The following is a 17198-nucleotide window of genomic DNA, read 5'->3' on the forward strand; positions in this document are numbered from 1 at the left end:
GGATGAGTGACTATTTAAGCCCTATAGATGATTTTTTAAAATTATTTTATTTATTTATTTATTTAAAGACAGAGTTTCTCTCTTGTCACCCAGGCTGGAGTGCAGTGGTGTGATCTTGACTCACTGCAACCTTCGCCTCCCGGGTTCAAGCGATTCTCCTGCCTCAGCCTCCCGGGTAGCTGGGACTACAGGCGCGTGCCACCACACCCAGCTAATTTTTGTATTTTTAGTAGAGACGGGGTTTCACCATCTTGGCCAGGCTGGTCTCGAACTCCTGACCTTGTGATCCACCCGCCTCGGCCTCCCAAAGTGCTGGGATTACAGGCGTGAGCCACTGCACCCGGCCAAAGCCCTATAGATGATTTTTGAAACAAATTTTTCATTTCGAAAAGATCTGGACAGTTTGAAATAAAAATGACCAAATTTTCTATCAAGTTGAAAAGAAATTTAGAGAAATACGATTTATCAAATAAAAAAGGTAATACCTTGGAATGAATGAAAAAATTAGGTAAATTTTTCATAACTTAGGTAGCTGTCTTAAATTATCCTGGAAAATATGGGCCAAACTTTGAGTTGAATTTTTAGTACAGCATTTAGATTCATGTTTCTCTATTTACGTTTTTGTGTGTGTGTGTAATGTTACTTTTAGAGCAGTGGAGGTCTCTACTATCCATTGTTTAATCTCTTCCTTTTGTGAATAGAATAATAATCAATTACTCCTAATCAGTATTCTTGGTATTTTTGTATATACATGTGATAGTAAGAGTTACATTTATGTGGATGAATTTACTATAAGCCAGCCTGTAATCTTAGTGTTTTACTTATTTAGCTTCCTAACATTCCTATGAGGTAGGTCCTGTTTTTATCTCCATTTTACAGATAAAGAAACTAAACTATAGAAAGCTTAAGTAAGGTGCTTAGGATCCCATAAGCCAGGGGTTGGACCAAGATGGTCTGGCTCTAGGATCTGTGATCTTAACCATTACCCTATGCTTCCTGTCTGCGTGTACTGGACATTCTGACTATGATGGCTTTGGAGTGGTTCAGGATCTTGGACTAGCTACTTCATAAAAATGGATTGGCTTATTTTCCGTAAAATGTCTTGTGTTTGTTTTGTTTTTTTTGAGAAATGACCTTTGTATGTTAATACTTTAGTTTGCTAGTAGAGCCTATTTGTTTAGTCATGGCTAACAGCATTTGTTGCGAGTGATTCCATTGATTGAGCTCTATTTCTGTTACTTTCTAAGTGTTTATCGTGTGATAATAAAAACATACCCAGCTGGCATCTCAAATCTGACTTAGCAAACTTTCAAGGTGTCTTCTAGCAGAATCTAGATTCCAAATAGCAGCCCAGCCTTGAGATTGAACTTCTGACACAGCAGTGTGGGTGCGAGGGTCATCCTCTCTCCTATCTTCGGCATAACTTGCCTGGAATGCACATGTGCTGCTGAGAACGGCCCCTCCTGGTCCTCTGGTCCCCTCCTTGTAACGTCTCACTGATCACACAGAACCAGGGAGGAGAGGGGCTTTCGGGGGCTTGTCAGGTCATGGCCATCCGTGCGCCTCCTTTACAGACAGGACCACTGAAGCCAGGGGAGGCTGTTGGGCTTGCCTGAGCCACCTCCCACTTCCCTGCCTGGAACTCCCTCCCTCCGCTCTGCCTCCTAATGCCTGGGCTCCGTTGAGGTGGAGAGAATCCGGTGGCTTTGGATTCCGTGTCCACACCCAGTTGTTTCCCAGTCAGAAAAAGAAATATTTAGTTTGGGGTTTGGATAAGGATATTAGTTTCAAATTAATCCTGTACTTAAAACATTTTATTTCTGTAAGTCATGTGAAAAAAAAATGTTTTTAGCGAATAGGGAAAGTTTTTAAGACAATTGGGATCTTCCCAGTAGTCTGTATTCTCTTCATTCTTTGTGGGGTTTGTTACTGGCAGCCTTAGTAAAGCATCTTGCAAAACGGGGGCTGGTAAGATGTGGTCCCAGTACCCCAAATGGCTCGTGTTCAGCTTCCCTTCTCATGACAGGTGCTGCCAGCCCCTTTGGGTCAGCACTGGGCACCCACCAGAGCATGCCATTTTCCTCAGGGGCCCTGGAGAAGGGTTCTGAAGTGGTGGCTCTTGAGTGGTGAACCAGAGGGTGGGGCCCTGGGCTTTGGGATCAGCTAGGCTTGGGTGTCGCTTAGTAGCTTTGTGCAAATCATTTCATCATTCTGAGCTTCAGTTCCTTAAGCTGTAAAATGGTGCTTACCTTATGCAGTAGTTGAGATAATTTAGATGATGAGATGGCATAGAAATAGGTATATGATGATAATATATGTATCATATTTAAATCTTGCCCAACACATAGTAAAACATACTACTTTGAGCTGGGCCTATGGCTTAGCATGTCATTTAATGTGTAAGTTATGGGTATTGTAATTTGGGAGCCCCTATGGAGCCTCTGTTCTTTTATCCCCACTAATTCATGCATGGTGATGTTTTGCCTGCTCCAGGGCGATGCTGTGGCAGGTGACTGAGGGTTTGCTGACCTTGCAGGAGAGACAGTGAGTGCCTGGGCACCAAGCAGTGCCCTTTCTCTGCCCTGCCTGCCCCCAGTGCCTCCAGGTCCTTGGAATGACTCTCTGAGAATTAATAGAATGTGTTTTTATGTATGTGAAAGAAGACAACCCCCAGAGAATCCAGTTACGTGCTATAGAGTGATACCACATGCTCTTCCTAAGTCTAGGAAAAGAATTGTATCTGGAATGAAGTGTAAAAGTTAAGACACAAAGATTGTCCTTTGGCCCCAAGTACAATTCGAAAGCATTTTGACAAGAACGTCTTACAATATTAGTGGCTTGATTATTTATTTTGTGCTGTTCATATCTCACCCAATGCTAGGCTCTACAGCTAAGTCGTCTTTCTGTCTTCACTATGGAGTGACCTCCAGACATTGACCCCTCCTGTGGTTGTACTGTTTCAAGCTGTTTTGATAAGGCTGAACTAGGATGATCAGGGCATGGCAAAACAGCTATTAGCAGCACTTGTTATTAATGACATATGAACGTGGTAAAATATACGGGCTTCCGATGAGTCTATTAGTGTGTTTTTTTATGTTTAGGAATGTTTCTAAGTTGAAGAGCTGAGGAGTATATAAGAATGACTCCATACTTTTCCATGAAAATTCAACACCTGTCCTCAAAACAGCTGGGTCTAGCTCCAAATTGCCCACTGTAGTCTTGTGAAAATTTCTTTGAATTCTCCCTTTTTTTCTCAAAAATACTTGGATTTCACATTCTATCCCATAGTGCATTTTATTTGTTTTTATGTTAAAATGCTACTTTTCTTCGCAAATGTTAGAGGAGGGTTGACTTGCCTGGAAGAGGTGCCATGTTCATCTTGCAGCTCCCCTACCTGCTGTAGGCCCTGGGGGAGTCTCCCTCCCCACCCCACCCCCAGCGTGAGAAGCGGAGTCCTTTCTGCCACTGACAGAGGGATGTTTCTGGGAGTAAGCGGTATGCTTCATGGAGTTCACCCCTGAATTTTGAGGATTGACCCCAATTTCCTTAGTTATTTTGAAATTTCTAGAGATTGGTATATCTAACTCAGGATGAGATCATTTATGTTTAAACCATTCTTTTGAGCTAGAGTGGAATGAGTGACCCCATTTTTCTGAATTTCTTGCCTTTAGTTAAAACAAAAATCGGTGTTTAACTTGCCTTCAGATGATCTCTTCTGGGTGTTTTTCTGAGAAGACACTCTCAAAACCCAGCAGTAACCCTGGTCGATTTTGCACCTGTGCCTGAAATGCTCCCTTGCCGTGCCCTGGTGTCTAGTCCTGGTCAGTGCACTCAGGAGGCTTGCAAAACTCAACTCTAGTCCTAAATACTCCTCTTCCAGCACTTACTTCTTCAGTCACAAAGTTGCTTTGCCCACCCAGCTGCTGTCCTGGGTCACAGCTGGAAGCAGAAAAGTCTAAGCTTAGTATACTTTGGATGATGTTTTTTACACTTTTGCCACATGACAGACTCTAGAGCCCCTCAGCATCTTTTTGTGTGGTTTGGATCTGCCACAGGAATGGGGAATGTTAGTCTTTTAATGGTGAAATTACTACATCATTTCTTGGGCCCTCTGACTGAGTCGGTTGTCTATTCTCAGAAGAGGCTCACTTCTGGACCTCTCGGTTCAGAAATCTGCTCTCTCTTAGTGGAAAATTATTTCCCTTCCTTTCTTTGTTTAACCTTTCCCCCATTCTGGATAACATATTGATCCTAAGTAGCATAGTAACTCTAAGAAGTCACCCAAAGTCCCACAGAAACTTAAATTGCTGTAGAGGCTACTCATAACTAAATAGACCACTCTGTCTTGCCCTTTAAGATACTTATAGTAGACTTAAAAAATTTAGATGGTAATTGCTGAGAGACATGATGTGCTCTTTCCGAGTGTACATTTTCTTTCTTCTCATGGATGGTATTTGAGGTTCTGTAATGACATTAGTTTGACAGACATAGAGCCAACCATAAAAAAATTCATGGGTTACCCTTGCATTGAAGTAAGTCAGTGAAATGAGTGGCTGTTTGTCCAGATGTTATTTGTCCACAGTGTGTTCCAGTTTCTTGGAAGGAGAACCATCCTACACAAATCCTCCATGCTGCTCTGCTGGTTTGGGTCAGGATGTTTTGGGCATCTTCAAGACTTCCCTCTCCTGTTTGGATTGGTAACAGTATCTGTTTCCCATTCATCTGGCTTGCAAAACTGAACTCTAGTCTTAAATCCTCCTCTTCCAGCACTTATTTCTTCAGTCACAAAATTGCTTCAAGCCTGCTTTCCTGACCTCCTGATTCAAGGATTCTAATTTCTTCTAGTTAGCTTTGATTGGTGCCCTGACCTCTAATCTCTCAATATCCCCCTTTCATGCATCCAAGTGGCAGCTGCTACATAGGCATTCCCAAGTTCTCCACTTTGCTCCAGCTGTCCTTCCTGCCTTAGGAGCCTCTGGTCATGCTGAGTCCTTCTCACAATGATGACCTAGATCCTCCATCTCTCCCGACATGGTCCAGCCACAGCCCCCTCCTTACTGCTTTGCAGGCCCTTTGCTGTGCTTTTCCTTTGCTTGCTGTGCCTGTCTACCTGTTGCCAGATGTTGAGGGCCACCTTGTTTCCCAAAGCCAGCTCCAGTGATCCCTCTTTTGTGGTCCCTCCCAACACCTGCCTGCCAGGTGGGAAGTGATAGCTTTCCTGCTCAGCATCTGTGATGCGTTGTCTCTTCCTAGTGCTGGTGTCCTTTGCTTTGTGTTAGAACTTTCTGCTCTGTTGTAAATGTTGGATTTCCTTCCTGTTTCGACAGGGAAATGTCTTATAGCCTGGGGTCAGCTGGAACAGTGGAGGGAGTGTATCCCATAACCTTGTAGACCTTTACCTTTTGCTAAGGGCAAGTCACTTAACCTCCAGTTACCCATTTGTGAAATGGCCCATCATTCTTCCCCTGCAGGGTGATAGTGATGATGAAAAATGAGGTGTAACAGATACTAAAGGGTCTAGCAGAGTGTCTGGCATATGGACAACTCAGTAAATGCCAGATCCTTCTCTAGGTTTCAATCCAGATAGGGTCTAGAAGAAGTTCTACACAAAATTGGTGCTAAATAAATATTGATGGAATTGCAAACCCTTTCAGAACCTGTTTGGCATTTTGTAGCTGCAGATTAAATGGTGTAAAAGCCTGTAGCCTTGTGTGTTGGAGCTGTGACTCTGGCTCTGTTACACTGATTTCTGTCTTTAGTCTAGGGCGGAGAATATTCCAGATCTCTTACAAGTTAACCCCTCCGCCCTCTACTAACCAAAGCAAAAGAAATTCTTGTCAAGGAGTTGGCAGAAACCTCAACATTAGCTTTGCTATAACTTGAAAGACACAACTTTCTAGTTTTTGCATAATATATGCGCACAGCACACACTGTACCTAGCTGCTTTACTTTGGTCACCAGTTGCTTGTTGGCTACTAGCCTAGTATGCGAACACCTCCAGCTTTTTTAGTTCTTGTTGGTAATTAATTTCCTAGAGGCTCTTATTACTTGTGAACAAAACTTTTGAATACATTATGAATGAGGTTTTACCTGATGTCATTATGTCAGTAGTGTTATGAAAAAAATAACCATAAAACTTTCTTCATTGTGGCAGTGAAGTATAATTCTGTTAAAAAGATCAAATGTCTAATGCTCTTAAGAAAAATCCTGAGTCTCCCTTTACAAGTACGTATGGCATGTTGGGAACAAAGTTTTAATACGGTGCTTTTTTCCCCTCTCAAAGGTCTTTTATAACCTGTTTTAGGCAGATGAGCTTGTTTGATTAAGAGTGGTAATTAATTCACAGTGGTCATTAGCATGTAAATATAATGTGACCTTCACATACTGTAAGAAGAGATTTTATTTTAGCAGTTCATGGGCATTGACTTTTGACAGAGGGAAAGAAAGGGAAATTGTATCAGTTAGTTTGGTGTATTATTTCAAAACATGGAAATTAATTTTGTGTCAGGTTGTAATTGTAATTGAAGTGTTAAAGACTTCGAGAGTGGTAAATTGCATTTAATCTCTCAGTAGTCCTTAAGTGAGTATTCAACAGTTATCTTCCTAAATAATTGGCATTGCTAATGAGAAGAGTTAAATCAGTTTCTATCTTTACCCTGTTGGAGTGTGGAATTAACAAACTGGGAAAATGAAAACTTTCAACTTTCCCAGAAGAGAGTAAATATGCAAAATGCCATTTAAAAAAATATAACTCACTTACACCAAGGAGAGCGGAAATGTAAGTCTGGAACATTTTGTGGAGAGGAGCAGGTATGAGGCAAAGGTACAGACCTAGGAATTAAGAGCACGTGAACCTTGGAACTCCCTACACACTCTGTTTCCTTCTCTGTCAAATGAAGCTGCTTAGCTAGAGAAGATCTAAGGCCCATTTTAATGCTAAGATTTTTATTATTTCTGTTTCTCTGATTTTTTTCATCTTCTATTTAAATCTGTGTGGTAGATGGCTATCTTCAGTCATACTCCCAATATAATTTTAATCCCCCCAAAAGTATATTTATCATATCAGTTAGCTCTTGCTATTAGCTCAGCACTGTGTTGGTGAGATTGATCCATGTTGTTGTTTGCATGACTGGTTTGTTCATTTTTATTGCTGCATAGTAATCCATTGTGTGAATATACTATAATTTATCCATTTTACTGTCACTGGAAATTTGCATAGTTTCCAGACTTTGGCTACTCCAAAGAGCCAGCAAGTTGTGGTCTTGTTTTCTGGCATACCTGTGTGCAGGAATTTAAAACTTTCTCTTTCTCCTTTTCTTTGAAATATAACTATAACAGATCCTATTATGTGTTGGGTTTAGTAAACTTTGTGATGAGTGTTCTCCCTGAAGGAGAGGGCATTTCTTACTTAGATACAAGAAATTATCCTTAGGCTTATCTGTGTAGACATACTACCAGTGACTAAAGGATCACTGAAAACATGCATACAGTTTCTAGTTTTTAATTTGATCTTCATTTTAAGTGCCTTCTGTGCATGTTGGGGTTTTTGGTGTTTTTCACACATCTGATTTTTTTTCAGACGTGTGTTTTTATATCAGACTCCAGTGAATTCTTTTGGTAGTGGACAGGTCGTAAAGTATAAATAAATCCAGCAGAACATACTTGCCATTCCTCTTGTAGGCACCCTCTGCCTGTCCTTTATGTGTGCTGGGCTTGCCCCATAGCAGCTGTGGTTGCTGGCATGTCCCGCTGTGCAGTAGCTCGCTGCTGCTGAACCCCCTATGCAACAAGATCCTGGGTGGGGAAGGGCAGCTCAGGTATGATGTGGCCAGGACTCGAAGGGAGCCAATCAAGTGTGAATTTCAAAACTGAAGACATTTGATTAGTGTGACTCTACTTTGTGGATCATCCAATGCAACCATCTCTTTTTACAGGTGGAGACCTGGGTTTAGAGAGGTCAAGTGACTTGTGCAAGTAGAGACCATGTCTTTTGCTGCCGTTTCCGTTGCAGCTTATATGAAATTATTATTTATAGTTGAGAGGGTAAGGCAGTATGAAAAGAAGACAGTGTGCTCACAATTTATTATAGTTTTTGGCAATAAGAGCTTCTAAATTAGGTCCAGAACAACATGTGAGTTTGCCTTCTCCTTTTTGCAAATGACATACAGCATCCTTTCCTCTTTGGATTATGTTTTCAGTGTTTTTATATGGGTCATAGGTTTATTTTGGTCCTAATCACATTATGCAGTTAGGAGTTTTGCTGCTCTGCCTGAAGAATTCTACATTTTACTCTATTTGTTTTGACTACAAATAAGACAAAATGTGTCTGTCAGGTGAAGGAACATATTCACTCTATGGTGTTGGTAGTGACCTATAATTATCTCAAATCTTTTGATTTCAACTTTGGGTGCATGCTTGCTTCTGGACAGCTGTTGCAGCCTTGATCCGCCTCTTGTCTCTTTTCTTCCCATGGCTGAAGGCCTGGTGGTGTCCTTCTGCCTTTGGTACCATCAGTCTCTGCCCACCCAGCTTAATTGGACAGAAGCTCTAGGGGGCAGGTGATCAATCATACCACGACTCATTTGCCTGTGCAGTCATTCTTAGTAGCTTTGCCTCGTATCATTTTGAGAGCAGAAAGTTTTTTTGGGGCTGCTTATTTAAGATTTTAGGTAGGAGGTGAGGTAATTGCATGAGGCAGAATTAGGTATTGATAAACTTGGTCCTGAGTTTTATTGGAAAGGTGTAGGTTGACTGGAGTGGAGGGAGATGTGGGTTTCACTGGAACTATCCAGTGATGGGATTGTTCTGACTATGATGCTGTAGATTGAAGATATTGCTGCTCCGTCACCATGTGGCACCTCCTCACTGTTACTATTTCATTGAAGATCAGTGGATACGGATGAAAGAGCTAATAATATTTCAGTGGCTGGTGGATGTTCTGAAGCCAAGGATGGCGAGAGGTTGCTGCTAATTCAGAGATTACCAAACCTTCGCCGTTCCTCCCACTTTGTGCCTTGGAGTCCCCACTTTCTGCACCTGTGCCTTTCATCCTTTAGCCTCTTTGTCCAGTCTTTACTACTCCTTAGGCTCACCCTTGTCCCTTTGTCCTCTTCCTTTTCCTTCATACCCTGAACTGCTGTTAGTAGAAAATCACAGTAAAGGTTCACACATTTGTTGTACTTGGAATAAAATGGGATGTTTCATGTTTTTGCTTGAAAAATAACTGAGTTAAATCCTTATAGATACAAACATAAAGATATCCCAAACAAAATTGTTTCTACTTTTAAGTTTGCTTGGGGGCCATGGTGGTTTACCCCCACTGCATTTGCCGAGCAGTGGAGAAAAATGAGGTGGTGATTGCTGTTTTGCAATGAACCTGAATAATTATTCCACACCCCCAATATTTTAATTTTGTACCCCTTTTGTAAACAAAAAAATGACATTGGCCAGGAGAATGAGGACTCTACTTACATTCTAATTTGTTTTTTAAAAGTCAAACACACCGCTAATGTTATAAGAGAATTGGTGCTTTGTGGCTTACCACATTACCCACTTGGAAAAACAAACATGTTAATTCTAAGGAACATACTGATTTGATGGTACAAAAGTTTCCCAGACCTGTTGGGTAAGTCTGTTTGTCTCTTTCTTTTTTTAAATGAAATAATTATGGGAGACTCTGTAGCCATGTCCCAGCTCTGCCACTTACTTAAATATCCCTGGACATATTACTTGAACTATTTAAGCCTGAATTTTCTCATAAGAAAAATGGGGTTAATGATTTTACTTAGCCATAAGATTGTTGTGTGGAACGAGAGTAAAGCACTGACGTCAGACTGAGCACATAGTAAATGCTCATTAAATATTAGCTAGCAGCAGTTTTTTTTTTTTTGAGATTGAGTCTCACTCTGTCGCCAGGCTAGAGTACAGTGGCATGATTTCGGCTCACTGCAACCTCCGCCTCCTGGGTTCAAGCGATTCTCCTGTCTCAGCCTCCTGAGTAGTTGGGACTACAGGCATGCGTCACCACGTCCCGCTAGTTTTTGTATTTTTAGTAGAGTCGGGGTTTCACCATGTTGGTCAGGCCGGTGTTGAACTCCTGACCTTGTGATCTGCCTGCTTCGGCCTCCCAAAGTGCTGGGATTATAGGCGTGAGCCACCACCAGCACATTTCTTTATAGTTATTTGTGTCGGAGGCAGGAAGGAGCCACACAGCTTGGAGAAGTAGGAGGAGCGTAGGTTTTGAAGACAAATAGACATGGGTTCAGATTTCAGCTCACTAGCAAGTTTGGTATGACTTTAAACTTGTCTGAGCCTCAGGTTTCTCAACTGAAAATTAAATTTCTATCTACTTTATCAGTGTTTTGAGGACTAAATGGGCTAGAACATGCAAAATATGGTGAACGGTGGAGAGCCGTGACCTGCAATGTTTTTTTTGTTTGTTTTTTTGAGATGGAATTTTTGCTCTGTCACCCAGGCTGGAGTGCAGTGGCGCGATCTTGGCTCTCTGCAACCTCTGCCTCCCAGCTTCAAGCAATTCTCCTACCTCAGCCTTCCCAGTAGCTGGGATTACAGGTGCCCGCCATCACACCCGGCTAATTTTTGTATTTTTAGTAAAGACAGAGTTTCACCGTGTTGGCCTGGCTGGTCTCGAACTCTTGACCTTAAGTGATCCACCAGCCTCAGCCTCCCAAAGTGCAGGGATTATAGGAGTGAGCCATGGCGTCCGGCTTGCAATGTCTTTTTTAGTGTGGATTAGTGGTATAATGATTTAAGATTTATTGGGCACTTTACATGTGCCACACACAGTTCTAAGCAGGATTAGAAATATTAACTTGTTTAAACTTCACAGCAATTCTAAGAGGTAGCTACTACTATTGTTCTTATTTTATGGATAAAGAAACTGAAGTTTAAGTGGTTAAGCAACTTGCCCAGGGTCATAGACCTCTATGTTATAGAGCTGGATGAACTTGATATGAAGGTGGAGTCCACAGTATTGACCACAGATCTGGGGCTTTTAGGTGAGACAAACCCTTTCCTCCTGAGTGTGCTTTTTATATAAAAGGTAGACATTTCCCCAGCAATTGAAGTTGGCCGTCTCAGTACCTTTGGGTGGGGGTAGTTAAGTACCTCTCACTTACATTGGTAAATAACTCATAAATATTAATGACAGCCCAAGTCAACTCTTGGCCTGGACCATGTTGATTTTTCTGTTAGTGTTCACACCTTTATTTTAAGCTTATCCCTGGTGGCTCATAAATGAGACACTGAGGGAATTTGTTTCCTGTGCCTTTTCAATGTAAATTATTGGCTGGTGATGATGATAGCATATTAAATAAGCTTAACCTTGGAAGCTTAGCCTCTTTGCAGAATAGAGAACTGTAAATTGAAGACTCCAGTGTTCTCTTACTTTTACAGGCTGATACAGGGTATGCCAGCTGCTAGGATTAGGCTAGGAAGCAAAAGTGATTGGTAAAGGAGAGTGGGTCTTGTCAGTGGTGTATGCAGAAGGAAGAGTATAATGTGTAGCAGCAAATTTCTGTTTGATGGTTGAGGACTATAAAATTGGCTACACAGTTTTCAGTGAAAGACATTTTCTAGAAAGGAGTGTGTTACGTGCATATGAAATTGAAGTTGTATTTCTAGGAAAATATTCCTGAAACTTTAAAAAAGTTTTTTAGTTAGTGTTTGTATTACTCCGTTTTCATGCTGCTGATAAAGACATACTTGAGACTGGGTAATTTACAAAGAAAAAGAGGTTTAGTGGACTCACAGTTCCATGTAGCTGGAGAGGCCTCACAATCATGGTGGAAGGCGAAAGGCACGTCTTACGTGGCAGCAGACAAGAGACAGTGAGGACCAGGTGAAAGGGGTTTCCCCTTATAAAACCATCAGATCTTGTGAGACTTATTCACTACCATGAGAACAGTATTGGGGAAACCACCACCATGATTCAGTTTTCTGCCACCAGGTCCCTCCAACAATATGTGGGAGTTATGGGTGCTACAATTCATGATGAGATTTGTTAGGGACACAGCCAAACCATATCAGTGTCTAAAATCAAGTTTTGAACTAAGAGCTACGGAATGTATGCCATTTCTCTCTGGGGATCTGAAGTCTTCATTGTTGTACAGTTGTATGCCTCCCAAAGTTGTGTTTATTAATTGTCACTTCTGATGGAAAATGGCACATTTCCATCTCCATGCTTCTTAGAAGAGCCTGCAATTTACCCCTGAAGTTTGTTGAAGGCACAGAGCTGAGTAATGTCTACATGTGTGTAAGTGTACATATATGCACAGGCATACAGCCTTTCTCTAAGGGGTTAGAAAAGATAACCTTGATAGCTTTCATGTTGAATGTGTGAGGAATACAGAATTGTGAATAGGTTTTGTTATATCTACCCCTCTGTTGGCAACGGGACACTAAGTCAACCTTTTCTTATTTCTTCTAAACGGGAAACATAACTACAGCATAGAGACCAAGGAGGTGGTTGGAAAGATAACCGTATATGTTGCTAAGCGGAAAAAGTAGCATCATATTGCAGATTTAGGAGGTCCAGTATTACTTACTTAATAGTTGTTTATTTTTTTAAAGTGTATATCTGTTTTAGAAGTTCTATCTCTTAAGGGAGATAGAGCGATTTAAAAAATAATCTCTGAGGGCTATCTGTTCTTACTCAGATATTTTTTAAGGACCTTTTAATTTTTATGTACTTGTTAAATTTTTGAAAGGAGTGTGTGTTTAACTCCTTACATACTTAGTCCTTGCCAGGGTGAATGGTTAAATTAGACGTGCAAAAAGCTCCACATCATTGCCTGCTGTTGGCTTGGGTGGAAGTAAGGAGAGTATACTACTTTAAGTTTTCACTTTCTTTTTGTCTTCTTACAGTGTCATTCCTTTGTCCCTCCCATAGATTGACAGGGGAGTGTGTCTGGTCCCTTGACTTCTGGGCCAAACATGCTTAAACTGCAAATCTGAAGCTTGAAGGGAAAGAGGATCATAAGAATAGTTTTGTGGTGAATTGTAGATCACATCCCACCCTTCTCTTTCTCCTTTATGGCTGAATTTTTGACATCTGTGCAGTGCTGTTGAGAGCAAAGAATGGCTGGGGCTGGGTGCCGTGAGGGTGGGGGGTACAGGGGAAAGCCCTGGAATAGGGTTAGGGTGTTGTTAACCAAAAAACCTAACTCTGTAAAATATTTAAAGAGGTTTATTCTGAACTGATATGAGTGACCATGGCCTGGGAAACAGTCTCAAGAGGTCCTGAGAAAGTGTGCCTGAGGCAGTGGAGTTTAGGGAGACAGTTGGGGGGCAAGTTACAGGTCATAAGTGGATTCAAAGATTTTCTAATTGGCAGTTGGTTGAAAGAGTTAAGCTTTGTCTAAAGACTTAAGTAGAAAGAAATGCTTGAGTTAAGATGAGGGGGGTTGTGAGGGTCAAGGTTCTTGTTTTGTTATGCAGGTGAAGCCTCCAGTTAAGCAGCCTTCAGAGAGAGATGGTAAAGATCTCTTTTCTGATCTTAAAAGGTGTCAGACTCAGTTAATCTCTCCTAGATCCTAGAAAGGCCTGGCTGCATTAATGGAGATTCCCCCATGCAAACGGACATTTTCCGCATGCAAATTTCTCCCATGAAAGATGGTTTTGCAGGGCCATTTCAATATATGTCAAGGAAATATATTTTGGGGTAAAATATTTCCATTTCCTCAGTGTCTGCTCTCTGCCGTGTGACGCTATACCACAGTCAGGTTGGAATTTGGTATCTTATTGCCGCAAAGAGTCTGTTTTGTCAGTCTTTGATCTCTATTTTAGTGTTAATACTGGTCGTTTTGCCTAAACTCCAAAAGGGAGCTGGTATAAAGAGGCGTGTCCAACTTCCCTTCCCATCATGGCCAGAAATTCAGTTTTTTCAGACTTCTCTGGCGTCCTCTTGGCCAGCAGGAAGACTGTTCAGTTGGTGGAGGGGCTTAGGGCTTTGTCTTTGGTTCACAGTGTGGATGCACGACTCAAGGGGTTGACGCTTAGCTCTTTGACATGTGGTGAGACCCTCAAGGATCGAAGAAAGCAGGATGTGTCCACAGCTTGAAATAATCCCTCTTCTATTTTAGAGGGAAGATACCAAGAAATAAAAAAAGAGAATCTGTGTCAGTAAATCCTTTAAAAAACACTGGGGGTGGTTTGACAAACTGTACAGTTCGTTGGTTTCTACACTTCATCCAGGATTGGTTTCTGAATAAAGTTTTGGCTGTGGTGGTCCATTCTCGTGGATGAAATACGGGTCAGCTTGCTGAAGCATTGGCACAACTGGCATATGGATAGGTCTGTGCTGAATCCTGGCTGCTAGAACAAGTACGCTGTGAGCTTTTTGCAGTTACCTGTTTCTGATGAATTTGTAGCTGAAAATCTTGTCACAGAAGTTGCTTTTCAATAGAGGTGGGTATTTCCTTGTTGTTGTTTTTTTAAAAAGCAAATTTCTGACTTGTTAACCCCCGAGGCTTTCTAAGAATGTTCTTCTGTTTGGCAGGTTTTCTTGCTGGTTTATTCTGCCTTTTCTTGTTGTATTTTTTTCTGCCCTGCAGCTGACATTTTGAGGACAGGACGACTCCCAGGCGTCAATTTCAGAGTTCAAAAACCAGAGAAGAAAATTGCATCTTCTCTCTCTCATGTGCAGTTAACTTTGACTTTGACAAAGATTCACTCACCCACTGGGATGTGAGAGAATGTTACAGAGGATTTGGAAGCTGCTAATGAAATGAGTGGTCTGCCCTGAATGTGGCTTACACACACACACACACACACACACACACACACACACACTCTCTCACTCACACTCATTCACTTCCCTCTTCCCACCCCCGACAATTCTATGGATCCTAGGGCTGGGATAAGTCCTCAAAGGTTATCTATAGTTTAGATACAACTCTTGCCTGCCTTAAATATGCTTAAATATGCCAAATATTTCTCAGGACCAGAAGTTTATATAAAGTACATCATGGCACAGCTGTTCTTACAGAGCCCCGAAGCCAGCAACAAGGGGAGATAAATTCCAGAGAGAATGAGTTAAACTGGGCAATTAAGTTGGGGAAGATAAAATGTTTAGCTGACATATGACTTAAGATTCTCAGTGAGGTATGGACATGGTGGTGTTCTCCTGCACTTCTCTAACCATAAAGTTCTGGAATAAATACTTTGTACAAACCTGCCTTCCCTTCTGCCCCATACTGCTTTCTGATTAAGAGAAGGGGGTCAGAGGGCTTTAATTCTATGCTAGTGAATAGCTGTATGTCCTTAGACAAGTCCAGGACTATTTTATTAGCAGCTGGCAGCTTCAGAGCTGAACACTATGCTAACTATGTTATATGTGCTTTATATAAGGATATATATAGAGAGAAGAAGTTGGCTGAATCTTGGAGGGAAAAGTTCACAAATCCATTGGCGTAAGTGGGAGAATTTATCCCAGTAATTGATATATCAAATGGGCAGAAAAATAAATAATAGAGAATAACTAGCTTGATCTAGTGGACACACATAGAACACAGCTTTCACAACTTGGAAAGTACATATTTTTAAAACGTGGTACATTTATGAAAAGTGACAGTGTACACACCTCAATAAATGTTAAAGAGGCAGTGTTGTGTGGGCCACTTAAGTCAAAACCAATTAAGTTAGAAATTAAAGACAAAAGGCAACTAAATTGCACAGTGCTGTATGAATGCGAGATATGCTTTATTCCTTTCCTGTATTGAACATACCGATCCCAGCTGGGAAGAGCTCAGTCTTGGGGAGCTAACCCAGAACAGAGCAATCTGAGCAAAGCAAATTTATCCAGGTTACTAGTATTAGATGCTGCTCCTATGTCCTTTTGAGGGACCTGGGGTGAAAGGTGGTTTGTGGGAACCACTATCTGCTTCCCAGTTAGGCATTTTGTAAACATAAATCCCAATCCTTCCATTTTCTTAGGAGGAGAGCCCTGAAAACCACCTGGAATTCTTTGTGTGTGGGAATTCTGGGCTATTCCAGCATTCCTGTGCCCTGATAACATAGCCTTTTCAATGCTGGGAAATAAAACTGTCTTACTGTTCATGTTTAGTTTAGTTCATAAACTAAAATCATCAGCTTTCACAAAGCTGTGAGTAGAAGCTTTGTCAATGGCAGATTTTATACTCTGAGTTTTTCTGTTAACAATTTAACAATTCTCATTTTAGAGGGTCTTGCAGGTGTGTGCTTGTGTGTGTAGGAAGCAATTTAGGCATGGACCTGCCTCATCGGGGTGCTGAGACAGCGTGCTGTAGAGAGAAGACGCTGGGCTCAGAAGCAAGCGAGACTGTGTCCCCTGGAACAAAAGCCAGTCGTTTCTCCTTTCTGAACCTTGGATAGGACTTCAGATCCCTACCTTGAAGTAGCCTCCCTACCTTGAAGTAGCCTCAGAAGGAGTAGATGAAACCACCATGAACTTTAAACAGCCCTGTTTTGGCATATAGTAAATGTCAGTAAATGATACCTATTGAGATTGTCATCTGCAGCTTCATTCATTCAAATTCACAGCTTTAGAATTCAGAATCAGTTGGGCTGCCTCATACATGCATTATATGCTTGCTTTTATTCATTCCTACAGATGTTTGAGAAACAGTGGTAGGATCTGGAAGTTCATGTTGGTATCCTTTGTCCATGGTGAGTTCCCCCAACAAATGAATAGAAGAAGAAATTTGATTGAAAGGATTTTGAAGTTGGAAACGATTTTCCTTCTTTCATTTTGCACTCAAGGGGAAAAAGGTCCATAAAGTTAGAATGATTTACCTTGAGTCATAGTTAGCTAAATAGGACAAGAGCAACATGGTGGAGCTCATCCTCATAGTCATCGTGATAGCATCTCTGCATGTGAATTCATTTCACAACCTCCTTTTGTGAACACTATTGCAGTCCAATTTTACATGGTGACTGTAAGGCACTTGCCCAAGGTCACACGATTCCTTCCCTGAGCTGTGTAGCTGCAGATCTTACCCTTCTACTCAGAGCCCTGTGTGCATTGTCTCTCACATGTGTTTAATCAGTTTATTAAAGTTGATTTGCTAAGGCCATCCACGTGTCCTCAGGCAAGCTGTCATTTTCAACAAAATGAGGGTGATGTGTAAAATGTTCTCAGATCTCCCTGAAATGTATACCAATCTCTTTGAGATGATTTAAAACCAGCATGGGATTAACTT

The 17198-nt window shown here is 41.4% G+C and overlaps 1 protein-coding gene across 2 annotated transcripts in view, besides 3 other annotated features; it reads left to right on the forward strand.

Annotated features, from left to right (window-relative positions):
* Window positions 1-17198, forward strand: part of TLN2 (talin 2) — a 454082-nt gene that overhangs the window by 117619 nt on the left and 319265 nt on the right. The gene's annotated exons all lie outside the window — the stretch shown is intronic.
* Window positions 13262-13556: a silencer, noted in NCBI's record as "tiled region #9025; HepG2 Repressive non-DNase unmatched - State 24:Quies". NCBI's record gives its function as "represses a minimal TATA promoter and a strong SV40 promoter by Sharpr-MPRA in HepG2 cells {active_cell/tissue: HepG2}" and the evidence as "EXISTENCE:reporter gene assay evidence [ECO:0000049][PMID:27701403]".
* Window positions 13262-14352: a biological region, named in NCBI's record as "Sharpr-MPRA regulatory region 9025".
* Window positions 13423-14352: an enhancer, noted in NCBI's record as "NANOG-H3K27ac-H3K4me1 hESC enhancer chr15:62813790-62814719 (GRCh37/hg19 assembly coordinates)". NCBI's record gives its function as "activates a minimal SCP1, AML or CMV promoter by ChIP-STARR-seq in primed H9 embryonic stem cells {active_cell/tissue: H9 hESC(primed)}" and the evidence as "EXISTENCE:reporter gene assay evidence [ECO:0000049][PMID:30033119]".

Source organism: Homo sapiens, chromosome 15 (assembly GCF_000001405.40).
Source record: "Homo sapiens chromosome 15, GRCh38.p14 Primary Assembly".
Lineage (NCBI taxonomy): Eukaryota > Metazoa > Chordata > Mammalia > Primates > Hominidae > Homo > Homo sapiens.